The sequence below is a fragment of the Homo sapiens genome, chromosome 4 (assembly GCF_000001405.40).
Source record: "Homo sapiens chromosome 4, GRCh38.p14 Primary Assembly".
NCBI lineage: Eukaryota > Metazoa > Chordata > Mammalia > Primates > Hominidae > Homo > Homo sapiens.
The window spans coordinates 38,004,081-38,020,257 of record NC_000004.12 but is presented as its reverse complement, the minus strand read 5'-3'; the positions used below and the strand labels follow the sequence as shown (position 1 = coordinate 38,020,257).

Here is a 16,177-nt window from a genome sequence, read left to right as displayed (position 1 = left end):
ACCTCAGCCTCCCAAAGTGCTGGGATTACAGGCGTGAACCACTGCGCCTGGCCTACACAGCACAATTTTAAAAAACACTAGGAAATTACTATTTTCTCTGATATTTTAAAATTTCAAAAAGTCTAAAAACATCTCAAATAAAGTTGGTTTACTAGAATGTTCCTTTGATTACTCCCACAACAATAAGAAAAATAAGATCTGAAAATTCAAGTTTTAGTGCTCATTTTAGTATTTGTTTGTTGTTTTGTTTGAGACATAGGTATTAAAGAATAAAAACCACTCAAAAAATCAAAGGCAGACCAGAGATTCATGAAGAAACACAACTAAGCACATACACACCCAAAGGTTAAAAAAATATTTAAAATATATTTGTATTCCTAAAATAAGTAGGTAAATACTGAAGTGAACTGGAATAAAGAAAGAGTCAAAAATTACATGCACACAGAGTAGAGGAGCTTTTAAACATATTAGGCCAAGGCTCTACCATGGTATCATAAGAGCTATTTTTAATAAATATTAATATGTAAATGTGTTTTAAAATCATCAGCTATCAGAGGCACCTTAATACAGATAAAACGTCTGCCATAAATATTAATACATCAATGTATTCTGAAAGCATCATCATGCAGAGATGTGAGTGCTGATAGCTTAATGTTCAGGTAATCATATAAACTTGTAAACTACACTCTTTAGGAAATTATAAAGCTATCACACAAAAATGTAAACATTTAACATTCATATTTCAACAGAAATAGCAGCAAATCAGGATTAAAAACTCTATGGGTAATCTCACTTTCAGGCCAAATATTTTCCAATAAATGAGCAATCATTAACATGCTTTGCCATCTCAATTAATCTTCTCCAGTAGCAAGTTAAGCATAAGGCTACCACTTAAGGAAATATGATTTAGCAAAGCTTTTTCTTTGTAAATGGTTCCCTATTCAATCTGTAAAGAACATTCTTTATTTTCACATTTTGCAGAAAAGTCCCTTTTGAATATTTAAGTAGATCACATTATAAATCAACACTGACATTTTCATATTTTATCAATTATGAAAATGAAAAATCCAGAGTTTAAAAAAAAAAGCAAATATAACCTTAAGTGATCTCATATTTGTTAGGAAGATCCTGAGTAAAACTGGCACAGCTAATCTTAATTGATAGATTCTTCCAAAATCCCTCTATGAAACACCTGGAAGATTATCAAGAAAAAAGTTTTCAAGTAGACACTGTACTCTGAGATAAGCACTATCTATATTTGAAGGGAGAATACTGACAATTGGTACCTAAAAAAGTTATAAATTTTTGTAAAGTAGAAATAGATCTAATAAAAAGATATATTTGTGTGAAATGTGTAAATATATATGTCAAAGATAAGCACTATCTATATTTGAAGGGAGAATACTGACAATTGGTACCCAAAAAAGTTACAAATTTTTGTAAAGTAGAAATATATCTAATAAAAAGATATATTTGTGTGAAATGTGTAAATATATATGTGTAATATGCACAAAGACACACACATGTGCATCTGGAAGTCATGACTGTGGATTATTACTACCAATAACTGAGAAAATTAAAAGTAGATCTATTTTGTCCATTACTGTTGCTAAGAGCAAATTTCTTAATTTCAAAATTATATTCATAATTTACCTTAACATACCAAAGCAAAGAAGAAAAGCGAAACACAAATCAAGTACAGTACTTAGAAAACATACACCTTGTAACCTTTAGCATTTGTTACATGATAGATATTATAGAAATTCATTTAAAAATTCCATTGCAATTGAATAAAAAAACCCATCTCCATTTACCTGAGAGCAAAAGGATATCTCCTTAAAATTTTTCTCCAATGCTATTTTTTTGGTGTCAGGACTGATGAGGTAAACTTCAGACTGGCCAATCTTAAAAGACAAACAAAAAAATCTAGCTTTTCAAACTTTCTCATTTCATGACCTATGAAAATAAAGAATAAAAGGGACAAGCTCCTATAAAATTCTGACTCTATCATCGTAGAAATCATTTCAAAGGTCCCCTCTTATCCTCTGGATTTCAGGTCATAAGACACATCTATTAGTGCCTTCACCTAGATAAGACAGCCATCTTCCTTGAGATGAAAGAACCAGATATCCAAAAGTTAGCAATAGGCCTCAAGATCCACACATCCCCCTAAAAACTGAGGTCTCCGCATAAGTGAACCTTCCAGAAAACAGAATCTACTCTTTCAAAGCTTCCAAGATACTTTTGAATGATTTTTACTGACAAGTCTTTTTAAATTATTGTTAAAAGAATCTACCATTTGTTTAGTACATATTACATGTGAGGCATTCACATACACTAGTGACCGGACCTTTTCAAGTTAGAGTATGAGCATCAATTACAATCCTCTTACTGCCTTGGGACATGCTAATAGACATGCATTATAGGAGACTGCTGTGTTGCAATACCCAACCTACTCTGTGTGCACACGCCCCTGCAGGCTGTGAAAGGCTGCCTTTTAGACTCCTCGTCTCTGGAGCGCTAAGCTTCTTGGGTTTCAGTGTGTGTTGGTTTCTACAGCTTTAGTTTCTCCTCAGGACCAAGAAGTCAGTGGTCACATCCTGACGCTGCCATTCTTAACTCCCAGACCCATCTCCTCCTCTAAACTCTTTACGCTTTGATGTAAAATACAAATCAGATACACAAGCTTGTTGGAAACTGGGGTGTAAGTCAAGGGGAATTATACTCTCAATGAGGGGGCCCAAGAAACGTGCATTCTGTTTGGGGCAAGGACTTTGCATTCTGAATTGTTTTTGCACACTTACTGTTTCTGAACTGTATTTCAGCCAGCAGAGAGTGGCAGGTAGCCTTTTACTCTTGTCCTTCTGTGGAGACCAAGGATGATGAAAAACTAATTCATTTTTAACATGCAACATCTTTCTAAACTAGACTGTGTCTCTCTCTAGAGTAGGAGCCAACACAATATCCTCCTTATTTGTAAACAACGAATAAGTATCTATTTGGAGTATGTTTAGTCTCTTTAGAAGTCACTGTCTTTACCTACATAATGAAGATAGTCCTTACTTATTTTTAAAAATAACCTTTGAAAATCTCATAAGGTGAGAGGCTCCAAGGCATTATTACTTAGCTATGGCTGGGTTGTAAAGAGCAAGTCAGAATCCAAAGTTGGGTGGGGCTCCTGAGATCCCTCTCCTTCCCCATGGCATCCAAAGGATTGTACATCCCATTAATTTGACTTTCTGCATGTCTGTCCCTTCCACTCCCACTGCACTTACCACAACCCCACTATCTCTCACCTGGACTACTACAACAGCTTCACTCCCCTCCCCATCCTACTCTTGCCCTCCCCCAAGTATCCTGGCTCTGTAGCCAAAGATATTTCACACTGTGTTTTATAGCATGCAGTGACTGCCCACTCCTTTCAGGATAAAAAACAAAACCCTGACCAAGACCCATAAAGTTGTGCCTGATGAAAACAACTTTCATGGGGCTGCCTCCAGTCCCAGCCCCATCTCTACGCACCATCCTTCCTTGTTTTCAGTGCGGCCATCTGGAATTATTTCTCACCCAACAGCTGTGCTCTAGGCACTACCAACGACAGCAGTGAACAGAGAAATGAAAATCCATGCCCTCTTGAAGCCTATCTTCTTGGGGGCATGTGGGACATAAAATCTTTTACTTGTTTATTTGTAATTGTGTCAAATGGTAAAAATGCCATGGAGAAAAATAAAGCAAAAAAGCAGGAAGTGAGGCTGCTATTGGTCTTACTGATACGATTATTCCTCCATGTCAACATTTCAGCAGAGACCTAAAGGAAGCAAGAGGAGGTAAGACCGTGACAACTCGAGGGAAGAATGCTGAGCAAAGGAGGCAGTCAGGCCTCTGGGATTCTCCAGGCACCAGGCACCATCCCTGCCTTTAGGGCCTTCTCATCTGCTGCTCTGTGAGCCCAGAAGACCTTCCCAGGTGGCCACAATGAAACCTTGTGTTAGGTGAAAATCACTTTCTCAAAGAAGCCTTTCCTGATTACCCTGAGAAATGCTCTCAGGCATGCTGTACTTCTCCTCCACGGCATTTACCACAATTATAATTAGATAATTATTTGTGCACTCAGTTGCCTGTCTCCCTTACTGGAATCTAAATTCCATGTGGGCAGAGAACATACTTGTCTTGTTCACGGCTGCATTTCCAGCATGTGGCAAGGGACGTTAGCACAGCAGTCAAACAGTCAGTACTTATAAATAAATGCAGGGAGCAGCTTTCTCAATGTCACCAAGGAAGTTTTTTTAAAAGATGCAGATCACAAATTAAAGCACAAATCTGACTACTCTTTTCGGTACACTAGATCAATGGTCAAAAGATGAAAACATCAGCCCTATTTACCCTTGGGTGCACCCCCTTGGTTTTAAACCTGCACACATCCACACTGCACTAACCTAGGTAGCTGGTTTTTTACCCCCTGGCCATCTCACCTGTGCCCTGAATTAGACACAAGAAGGAGACTTTATATTTAAGATAATTTTGTTCTCTACAGAACGTCAGTCAGCATTAAGCCAAAGAGAAGGCCAAGGAAGAAACTAGCTCTTCCATTGTCAGAGACCGGCTCGCTGCCGGGACAGCTCCACATCTCATCCGTTCAGACCCAGGGGACTCCCAGGGAGGGCACACCCATTCAGAAGAGCCCAGATCAGCATGGAACCAGGAACCCCACCCACCTGGGACAGCCCCCCATGTTCAGTCCTTTTCTAGCATTTGGCTGTCAATTTAACACTTTTTTTCTAAAAAAAAAAAAAGCAAGCAAGCCATTGGCTAAATTAATATTTCAGTTTGGGTATAAATTTCAAATATAATGTCACTCACAAAGCCACTCTTCCTGATTAGCAAAGGGTAAATGTTTCATAAATAAAAATATTAATAGTAGAGAGGGTGTTTTCCAACTAAAAGATTCTGTTGAAATATATCATCTGAAATTCATATATATTTTTTAAATCTCTCTGCTGGTCTCATTTACACGTTTTCACTGTTCTTTCCACACTGAAAAGGTGTCTTTATAATTACCGGGTGAGATAAAAATTACACATGGGCATGTTTCTCCCTGATGACTGTAAAGGCTTATGGCTAAAGGAAGGAGCTTATCCTAAGAATAGAATTGTTCAGCATGAAAATATATGGATTCACACATAAATCAAAAGCAATTGACTAAGAATCTTCGCTCCATAAAGCAGATTTTCTCTTGAAAGCGTATGGCAGACTGGGGCTGTGCACGAGCTGGGTGATATTTTACCGTGAAGAGCATAGTTCGATTTTCCTCGATATCTGTGGGCTGCACAATATTGTGTCCGCTAATGAGGTGGTTCTCAATGTCGCTCTCCTCGAAGGAGCTGAAGAAGCCGCTGCTTCGGAGGCCCCCATCCTGCAGCTCCTTCCTAAAGGCCAGCGAGCGCAGGCCGGGCTGGGAGAAGGACTTGCGCATGGGCCTGCGCACAGGCTCCTGGCTCCCTGTGGGCGCGGCATGGGGCGGGTTGGGGCGGGGGCTCTCGGACCCCCGGCTGCCGCTGACGTGATTGAACTTCTCGATGCACTCGTCGATCAGGGCCGGCGGAGCCTTCTTGTGCGCCACCGTCACGCGGCCGCAGAAGAGCACCTCGAACTTCTTGGAAAACGTGTCGTCGAACTCGGACGGGCAGTGCAGCTCCTCCTGCCGGGCGATCTTCCCCGCCTGACGGATGGAGCTGATGATCTCAGGCACCTGAGGAGAGAGAGAGGCGTGTTATTTGGAACATGCAGTGTGGCTGGCACTCACGGAATGAATGCACCATGCTCTTTCGGGACGCCCCGCTGGCTACTCCACTGCGGAGCACTGGAGGAGGAGCCCACTGGAGGAGGAGCCCACGGGAGGGGACTAGGAATGTCTTCCCATGGGAGGTGAACACACAGCTTCCACAGAAAAGAGAAGGGGGACGACACTTATGAAGCACCTCTTACCTGCCAAGGGCTGCGCTGGAGGATTTACATGCCCACAGCACCCTGCAAGGTTAAACCACCAGCCCGGGAACACACACAGCCCAACCTAGCAGGCCTTGGATTCAAGCCCAGGCTGGTCCCACTCCAAAGCTAAAGGCCTCCTCTGGAGAAGCTGTCGCCTCCCAGAGAAGTCTGTCTCCAACGTGGTTCACAAAACATGACTCAATTATTCTAGATCTCATGGCAGTATACTTTGGAAAGTCTTCTTTAATAAATGGTGGGATGAAGAAGACAAAGGCTCTGAAATTATCTCATAAATTATTTATTCAAATCCCAGCACCATTATTTCCTTCCATGACAACTCAGTCCTATATTTCCTAGCAGGTGAATAGTGACTAGCAAGTCAACAAAGCTAGGAGGTTTTAATCAAGGACTGAGTAACCCATGACTAATATTATCACAGCAAACAGGCTCACCAGGGATTCTTCACATGGAGACTATAAAGCTTTTGGTTTCTAATGCTGAAAATCATGATTAAAAGAATGTAATAAAAGACCTCATCTGCCACGGTGTTGTCCCTACTGCTACATCCTCTCATCATTAACCTCTGAGAAGGTTCTTCAAAGCAGCATAGACATAAAGATGAATCCGCACGGCAGTGAATGAAACAGCTGTGCAATTGCTCAGATGATGGACAGCCACAACACTAATATTTGTGGCCAGGCATGGATTTAAACAAGGCCAAGGCAGGCATAAATTTAATCTTCAAAAGGGCCTACTTTTTGTTATGACCTAACACCTAAACCAATTTTTTCCATTTTTCTATATAAGGAAAATTCAATTTAAGGCCCAATACCCACAGGCCCTATGTCTTTTTAACAACATTATAGAGAAATTTTAAAAATCCCCCTTCCAATTCAGGTCAAAGATCAACACATACAGTAAAGGAGGTGGTTTTAAATTTTAAAAGTATCCTTATATTCAGTGTTCATGACATAATTCCCAAAACCAATGACTCGAAAGATTTTTCTCTTTGTGACTTCATATCAAATACACCTTAAAGATCTCTCTGTCATAAAGATTATGACTATTCTTTCAAGGTATTTTATCACACAAAGAGTCAAAAGATCTTTAGGAAAGTTTTACATTTTAAATAATTGATACCTGATGAGACCTAAATGATTTTAAAAGCCAAAATTTCAGCCAGGCGCAGTGGCTCATGCCTGTAATCCCAGCACTTTGGGAGGCCAAGGAGGGCAGATCAGGAGGTCAGGAGGTTGAGACCAGCCTGGCCAACATAGTGAAACCCCGTCTCTACTAAAAATACAAAAAATTAGCTGGGCGTGGTGGCAGGTGCCTGTAATCCCAGCTACTTGGGAGGCCGAGGCAGGAGAATTGCTTGAACCTGGGAGGCGGAGGTTGCAGTGAGCCGAGATTGTGCCACTGCACTCCAGCCTGGGTGACAGCACAAGACTGTCTCAAAAAAAACAAAATAGCCAAAATTTCAACAGGTCAAGCATCTGTCTGCACTGAGCATTTGCTTGGTTATAGCCCACTTTTATACTGCCAAATAATCATACATCATACAGAGGCCTAAAAACTGTTGGTCAATTATAAAAAGAAGACAGGACAGAGAGAAGAGAGCATGAAGTCTAGGTTTCATTCACATCTTTGCCAATGGTTCACAACAGAAGCCTGGTAAAAACTTAGCCACAGTTAGACTGGGCATGTTAGTGCACACCTGTAATCCCAGCACTTTGGGAGGCCAAGGCAGGCGGATTGCTTGAGCTCAGGAGCTCAAGACCATCCTGGGCAAAATGGCGAGACCTCGTCTCTATACAAAATACAAAAATGAGCCAGCCAAGGTGGTGTGCGCCTGCAGTCCCCACTACTCCTGAGGCAGGAGTATTGCTGGAGCCCAGGAGATGGAGGCTGCAGTAAGCCAAGACAGTACCACTGCACTCCAGCCTGGGTGACTGAGACCTTGTCTCAAAACAAAAAACAACAACAACAACAAAAAGCCATAGTTACTCTCCAAAAAGGAGTTTATAAGATTTTCCTGGTAAAAGTGATTTCTGTAAAGAACATTTGTCAAACAAAAATAATCAATTTATACAAGAACCTTGCCACTCTTCTAAGCAAGTGTGTAAGATTATTTTATCAAGTCACGTGAGTCTTCCCAATTACTAACCCCACTCTGAACAGAAAATTCAAAGCTTATTCAGTCCTCTGAGGCTTATGAAAATACCTGACATTTCTACATGCTGTGTCTTCTGCTGCATCTGAAGTGAGCAGTGATGTCTTTCATTATGTATCAAAGGAGAGAGAAAATGTGTGAAGTCACATGAATTTGTTGGTGACTCAGTAGTAAATGGTACAAACAAAAAGATGACACAAAGTAGATCACTTAACTGTCCCCTGGATTCCCAGGGTCAGAAGAAACTGAAGAATACCTCATAACTTGGTCACAATCGAGGTTGTGGTAGTTTTTTTTCCAAGGACCAATCTCTCCTATCCTTTACTCAGAATCTTAAAAAGACACACTTTAGTCAAAGACCAAAGTCTCTCTCTCCTTGCTCTGCTAAGTTTTAGTATTCAGGCATAATTGAGCTCAAGGTTCTCATGCTCAGGGTAAGGTGTGCCCCGTCATTCAGAAGCACCAAGAAGTTATGTGTAATACAGATATAAAGGAGATAATTGAGGTCTAACAATTTCAGAACATTTGAAGGCAAAGGGCATATTGCCAAATATAGTTTCAACAACAAATTGCAAATAGTTAAAAAGCCTAATTCCATTTAAACATTACTTTAAGTTAGTCAAGTATACTAAGAGACTAAATAAAAAATGGGTTCTATCTGTGTGTAAGTTTATAAAACCCTCTACCAGAATGGACCTGGGGCACTGTTTTTTCTTTTTTTCTTTTTCTTTTTTTTTTTTTTTGAGATGGAGTTTCGCTCTTGTTGCCCAGGCTGGAGTGCAATGGGGCGATCTCAGCTCACTGCAACCTCTGCCCCCCAGGTTCAAGCAATTCTCCTGCCTCAGCCTCCCGAGTAGCTAGGATTACAGGCATGCACCACCACACCCGGCTAATTTTGTATTTTTTTGGTAGAGATGGGGTTTCTCCTTGTCGGTCAGGCTGGTCTTGAACTCCTGACCTCAAGTGATCCACCCGCCTCGGCCTCCCAAAGTGGTGGGATTACAGGCGTGAGCCACTGTGCCCAGCCTCTGAGGCACTATTTTCTAAAAAATGAAGGCATAATGTCCACTCGTTATAAAATCCTGAATTCTTTATCCTTCTAACTCTGTCCTGGACTCACCTATTTGCATGGAGGACTTCAGTCATTTACTTCATTTTATTTCTATACATTTTTCTAGGCATCTCTAGATGCCAGAGCCAGGGATTCAGAAATATAAGATGAATGTAAATGAGTCCCTGCCCGGAGGAGGAGGTTTAATTAGGATCCTTTACGGTAATTGAGATGGGGCATGTTGAGAGCCTGAACTGAGAAAGAACTAAGCACTGAAGGCTGAGAGGAAGGCTGAGAGAAAGGCTGAATGAAAGATTCTGGAAGACAGGACTAACAGGATTTGGTGGTGACCTGGATAGGGGGCTGAGGATATTGAAGATGGGGCGTGGTACCCAGGGCTCTGGCTTAGGCTTCTGTGTGGATGACTGTGCCATTAGTTCACAGAGGGAGTGCAGAGTGGAGAAGGTTTGGGGAGACAGTGCAATGAGTTCTGCTTTTGTCTATGTTAAGACCAGGAGGACTTGAAAGTAAAGGCATCTAGCTGGGTAAGTGGGCCTAGAGTCCAAGACAGGGAGTCTAAGCTGGACATGAGCAGCTCACATCCGGGAGGGAAAGTAAAGGAAGGGAGTGCCAAGACAGGCTCCTGGGATACCCCAACATTTCAGGTGTAGAGAAACTAAGGAATCGCAGGCAGAGAAGATGGGGACCTGGGGGGAGGCAAGGATGAGGTTAGAGACGCCCAGAAAGGGGACACTCCATCTTCAAGAAAAGGAGTCAGCAACTTACAACAGGATAAGGGCTGAGAGAGCTGGCTGGAGCTTTGGCTCATACAGATAAGTAAAAATAAATAAGGCGGAAGACAATACTAAACCCCCAAAATAAACATGCCTAACTGAAAAATGTCCTCAAGTAAAACTTTATTTAGTCTAAAAGAACATATACTTCCAATTACAATATTTACTGCAAAACACAGATCCTTTTTGGGCAAATACACTGAGGCCAGTGGATTTATTCCCACTGATATGATCTGGGTACTTTTAGTGAAAATCTTTTTTTAGTTTTGTTGGAGCAATAGTATCTACGTCATTTCTGTTTGCAGACGAAGTAAATCAAAACCAACTATAGCACAAACAAGAACCCAAAAAGCATCTTATTGGGACAGATTCAATAAGGGTGTGGGGCTTAGTTTTAATTTTCTTTTAATGAAGAAACAGGCCTTATTTAGATACATAAAAATTAAACTCCTCTTCTGCCAACCTATTTGAGTTTATACTAAAACTCAATTTTGAAAGTAAGTCTGCATTTTGCTCACAACCAAAACAAGTTTCTTTGTTCACATACTAACAAATGCACAGTAATGTATGAAGTTTCTGAAGCATGCATAAGTGAATACTGTTTCATATGTAGCCAGATAATGACATCCCAAGAGAATTAGAAATATTCAGTTCTGTAAATAAAGTCCTTATTTAAACATTTGGGTCAACTTGCTTTTTAAGGATTTAGGGATTATAAAGGATTATAAATACACTGCAAGTGTAATTTTATTCACAAGGATTTAGGAAAGAGCTCCTGAAACAATATTTAGAATAAAAAGTCATTTTACTTTACATTTGCTGCTTTGTTTTTCTGTCAACAAGTAAGAAACAAATATTAAATAAGTCTGAAGCACTGTGTATTTAAAATTCTAGCATTTTTCCCGTTATATGATGGTAACACATTCTAAGACTTCAAAAATATGGCCGGACACATTGTGTTTTTTCCCTTAGATGAAATGCTTTCTCATTGTAAGGAGTTCAAATGAGCACTTCACACAAAAAAAATGCTACGTAATCATTGTCCAGAAGGAACAGATTTGTGGCTTGTTTTTATTGACAAGCAGTTATTTGTATTTGTTGGTCGTAAGGTATAAAGGAAGGGGGTAAAAACTAAATTAAACCAAGTATTTCCTCACTCTATCTTACATGCCTTAAATTTCATGCAAAACACTTGAGAAAATATGAGTGCCTATTACTTAAATCATTTAAACAGAAAATACCATCAGTTGCTATCTAGATAGGACACAGGTAAACATTCATATTATGCAGCAGCTCAGCCTGACAGGACTAGATTCAATCATGAAGATTTGAATATGCCTCCTACAATGAGTAAGACATGATTCCCTCTGACTTTAGGAGGCTCACGCATATGTGATTTCCAATATAAGGTGACAGGTGCCAGAACACAAACATGGGCGAAGGCACAGAAGGCCGCTCCTGTGCAGTGGTCTGTCTTGGCTCTTTTGCTTCATGCTGTGGTGATCTAATGCCTCAATGCCTGCTTCATGCTTACAATTAGACAACAGGTCAGATTAATGTGTTACATCTTGCCAAGGAGTGATCAGGTGTCCCTGTTAGCTGGCTGAGGAGGCATCTGGGCATAGGTGAAGTGCTAATGACTGTTAGCCCCTGACACAGGGGCCCCTTTTTCATCCCCTCTGCCTTATCTTTCTGTCCTTTGGGTCTTGATCTTTCATCCCATGTAAAAAAGAAGTAGCATTATTCAGCTTCCCTGGTTGTGAAATGGCAAATTGGATAAGCTGTTAGTAGCTTTTAAACCCCACAGAGATGGTCTATGCAAACACAAAACATAGTTTGTACTCCAAAATAATTGTTTAAAAGATTCACTACAACCTTCTGACTGACCAACACCTTTCTACAAACATTTAAAACTATGAAACCACAAAAGAAGTAATCGAATGGCTGTAGGAGCTAAAAGAGGGTGGGAGGAGGTGAGAAAGAAAAAGGAAGATTGCACTGTAAGGATACGAAATTATTTCGTAGGTTTTCTAAAATAGTTTTTAAAACTTAAAATGTTGGGTGGCCAGCATAAATATAGATAGACTTCATGGAATCACTGAATATTCAATCTGGATGAGAATATAAGTCCTCAAAGTCCAGCCCCTTCACTGAAAGCACTGATTCTCAACTCAAATGTGCCTGCACATGGGAATGGCCAGTATTTTCAAGCCCTGATGTCCAGGTCCACCCACCTAAATGAAGCAGCTTGTTTGGAGGTGGGGCCCTCACTCCCGCAGTTTTCAAAGTGCCCTACCCTGGCTGTTCTAACGGGCAGCCAGAGTCCAGAAGCCTGGCTTCATCAGCTGTCCTTTGTCACATCCCAGGGAAGGCAGGGCTTCATAGGAAGGCCTCCTCCGCATGCCACCCACAGCACCATCCTACCCAAATCCATTTCATTATGGAGGCCCTTGGCAAACTGTGAACAGCACGAAGGGCAGCCAAACTGCACAGATCCCTACCATGCTTACCGCAGAGATGAACAAACTGGCAAAGACAAAAAAGACTGAATCTGTCTAGACAGAGGGAATAAAGCAGCACATAAATGACTAAACAGGGTGGAAAGCAAGTGCTACAGAAGTACTAAGGAGGTTGAGGATAGAGAAATGCAAAATCTCAGTACAGGGTGCATTTCAAATAAGTTATTAAAAGCAGATAGGGACAGGGAGTAGTGGTTCACACCTGTAATCCTAGCACTTTGGGAGGCTGAGGTGGGTGGATCATTTGAGGTCAGAAGTTCGAGACCAGCCTGACCAACAAGGTGAAACCCCGTCTCTACTAAAGATACAAAAATTAACCAGGCGTGGTGGCAGGCGCCTGTAGTCCCAGCTACTTGGGAGGCTGAGACAGGAGAACTGCTTGAACCCGGGAGGCAAAGGTTGCAGTGAGCTGAGATCTCACCACCGCACTCCAGCCTGGGCGACAGAGCAAGACTCCGTCTCAAAAAATAATAATAATAAATTAATAAATAAATAAAAAAATAAAAAGTAAAAGCAGATAGGATGCCAAACATTTACCAAACCCCGCCCTTCTTAAAATAAAACCAGTCACCAGGTGTGGGTGAGGAAAGTCAAGTCCAGGGACTCCAGTTCCTTGCCACTCAAGAAATGTCTTCTCTTTCAGAATATGCCCTGCGCATGTCTCGTCTCAGTGCTCAGCTATTTGGTGAAGTCGCCAGGCCGACTGATTCCAAGTCTATGAAAATGGTGACACTGTTTAGTGAACCACCCTTGGCCAAGAAGAAGGAGACTTATGACTGGGTATCCAGATGACAACACTTACTCCACACTCATGGGAACACTCTGGTTTCTTGGATTCTGCAGAGATGAGCATCAGGATTTTAAGGATGAGCAAAGATGACAAAAGAAGCTTCGTGGAAAGGGGAAACCAAAGAAAGGAGAGGGGAAAAGAGCAGCATAAAAGAAATAGTGTTGGGCCAGGCGCAGTGGCTCACGCCTGTAATCCCAGCACTTTGGGAGGCCAAGGTGGGCGGATCACAAGGTCAGGAGATTGAGCCCATCCTGGCTAACATGGTGAAACCCCATCTCTACTAAAAATACAAAAAAATTAGCCGGGCGTGGTGGCACATGCCTGTAGTCCCAGCTACTCGGGAGGCTGAGGCAGGAGCATCGCTTGAACCCGGAAGGCAGAGGTTGCAGTGAGACGAGATTGTGCCACTGCACTCCAGCCTGGGTGACAAAGCAAGACTCCATCTCAAAAAAAAAAAAAAAAAAAAAATAGTGTTGGTCCCTCAAGAGGGAAAATTTCTTCCTCTGTGGCAGAGAGAAGAAAATGCATCTACTGTCTTTCCACATATTGGAGGAATGTCATCTTCCTAAAGGAAGGTTATTTGGAGGTTATCATCTCCTTGTTGAAGTCTAATCCAGTTAAATGGTGACTGGTTTCTTGAACACACTTTAACTGTGCAAAACTATTTTGGCCTTGGCTGTGTAATATAAGGTTTACCTAATTCTCTAATGAAATGAATACATAAAAAAAAAAGTCACCAAAGCCTCCTGGAATTCCAAACTGATTCTATTTTTTTCTCCATAAAAAAGGAGATTTAATAAAATTTTAGCTCATATCAAAAATTTTTAACAACCACAGCCAAACTGCAATTCATGTTTGAATGCTTGCACCTTATTCCCATGCCCTCTCTGCTCCCTGCTATGTAAAATGAGAAAGGGCTGTAATCACATACAATACAAGTGGACAAAGAAACAGGACCAAAAAACACGGGTAATTTGCAAAGTATCTACACAACGCCTCACACATGGGTCTAATGTGTCACTCAGAGGTGACTGTGCTTCTCTGGAAATGCGGTTTTCTACCATGGCATCATGTCTTCTCCATGTCAGTCCCCTGGCATGGCAGCAGTGGGACTGGAGTTGCTCCCCAGTGACTGGGGCAGCTGAGAAGTCACATGGCCTTGCTGGCTCTCTGGGGTTCACATCCAGCTTTGCTTACCTATAAACAGAATCTGCCTCAATGAAAAACACAGCAAAGGAATTTTTTGGGTTTTAGCCAGATCTCTGAGGGCAGGACTTCATTTCTAAGGTAAAAGATAAAGCTTTCCTCCCTCAGAGGAACTAAGGAGAAAAGAAAAGTTCCCTGTACGGGGCTCAGGCCAGAAGCCACAAGAAACAGAGATATCCCCCAGGAGGCTGCACTGCTGTCTCAGAAGCCAGGCTAGGGGATCACAAGCACACCCAGACATAAACACCAGGGAAGGAAAACATCTCTGAACACTCCCTACTGAAGCTGCAAACAGCCTAGTCTTTCAAATCAAATCATAACCTTAATTCTCACATAATGTACAATACCCAAGATTCAGGTAGAACTAGCCCCAGACAGCCAGCACCTTACGATCTCACTCTGTGTATTTAAACCACAACAAATGAGATCAATGTATCAGAACTGCAACAACTACTGAAAAATGTAAGCTTTGCTCTTGCATTCTTCCCTTCCCTATCCTCTTGCTTTAGGAGGAAAATAAAGCACACATTTATATCTCCGGAGCACCCTCCTCTTACACACCCTTTTTCCGCATCCTGGGGCCTCCAATCCAAACCAGCACCAGCAGAGGTGTTGTTAGGCTCAACAGAAAGGTCAATCATTTCATAACCAAGAAGATGCAAGACGGTTACGGCTGAACAGAAAGGCGGGGGAGATGGAAGGAGAAGAACACTTTGCTCTCTCCCTCCCCCTCCCTGCCAGGGAGCCAGGTCAGACCCTTCTTCTGGGCTCGTTAAGTTGCTGCTGAGGCATTTTGCCTTGGCATAAAAGGGCTAACCTCAAGAACCAAGGAAAACAAATATTCATGTTTTACCGTTTTTCAATAATCTATCCTTTTTGAACACAGCTACAAAATGTACTCTTTAATTATCTTCGGTTTCTAAAAATTAGTTCAATACACATCCACATAAAAGAAAAACAGGAAAACATAAAGTTGCCCATAATCCCTGGAAACATCTACAGTTAACAATCTGGCTTTTCTGTTGTGTAGTTCTTTGTGTACACTTAATGGTAATTTACCAATTTTTTTAAGTGGGATCATAGTGTTCTGCAACTAACTTTTATCATCGAGGGCATATTTCACTAGAACCCATATTAGAACCATCTCATTCCTTTCTGATAGGTAATTAAGGCATTGATTTCATTAACTGCAAACACTGTACAAAAAGAAAGTACAAGATTTCTTTTTTGTTTAAAAAAAAGGCATATTCAGGATCCATCAGGCACTCTGCTCAATAATAAAGCATTTTGGTAAATGTGTGACGAGTATAAATCCCAACCTTTGCATAAACTGCCAGGACTGCTAATTGCATTTCAGTGTAAGAAAATTGTTTAGTGTGTGCAGGTTGAGGGAGGGAGGGAAGTACAAAGATATGAGAGTGAGCCCAGTACTGCTTACTAGACCACAAACATTCCATCCGGAGGGAGCCAGGGATCTGGAGCAGTAACTAAAACAGAATAACCTTTAAAAGAGTAGAGATGAACTCTCGTTGCTGGTCACAACTATCAGGAGAAAGTCAGCCCTAACTGCTAGGCAGCTGAAGCTATGAATGTGTGATGCTGACAGAACCTATGGGGAACTCTGTAGCTTGGAATGCTGAAATAAGCTGCAAGCAC

General features: G+C 41.4%; 1 protein-coding gene and 1 pseudogene across 27 annotated transcripts in view, besides 1 other annotated feature; one reads left to right on the top strand and one right to left on the bottom strand.

The window, feature by feature from the left end:
• The window catches only part of TBC1D1 (TBC1 domain family member 1), a 248,090-nt gene that overhangs the window by 118,916 nt on the left and 112,997 nt on the right, over positions 1–16,177 (bottom strand). For 17 of the 27 annotated variants that reach the window (XM_005262646.4, NM_001396959.1, NM_001253912.2 and 14 more), the window contains 2 exons: positions 5,285–5,749; positions 1,815–1,904 (listed from right to left, as the gene is read on the bottom strand). In XM_005262646.4, the coding sequence (XP_005262703.1) occupies positions 1,815–1,904; positions 5,285–5,749 (555 nt within the window). Of the gene's footprint in view, positions 1–1,814; positions 1,905–2,804; positions 2,865–5,284; positions 5,750–16,177 lie in introns of all 27 variants that reach the window. The other 10 variants (XM_011513659.3, XM_011513660.4, XM_011513662.4 and 7 more) reach the window with 1 other exon arrangement.
• MRPS33P2 (mitochondrial ribosomal protein S33 pseudogene 2) lies at positions 13,102–13,678 on the top strand (annotated as a pseudogene).
• Positions 15,136–15,430: a silencer, noted in NCBI's record as "tiled region #1196; HepG2 Repressive non-DNase unmatched - State 23:Low, and K562 Repressive non-DNase unmatched - State 23:Low". NCBI's record gives its function as "represses a minimal TATA promoter and a strong SV40 promoter by Sharpr-MPRA in HepG2 and K562 cells {active_cell/tissue: HepG2 | K562}" and the evidence as "EXISTENCE:reporter gene assay evidence [ECO:0000049][PMID:27701403]".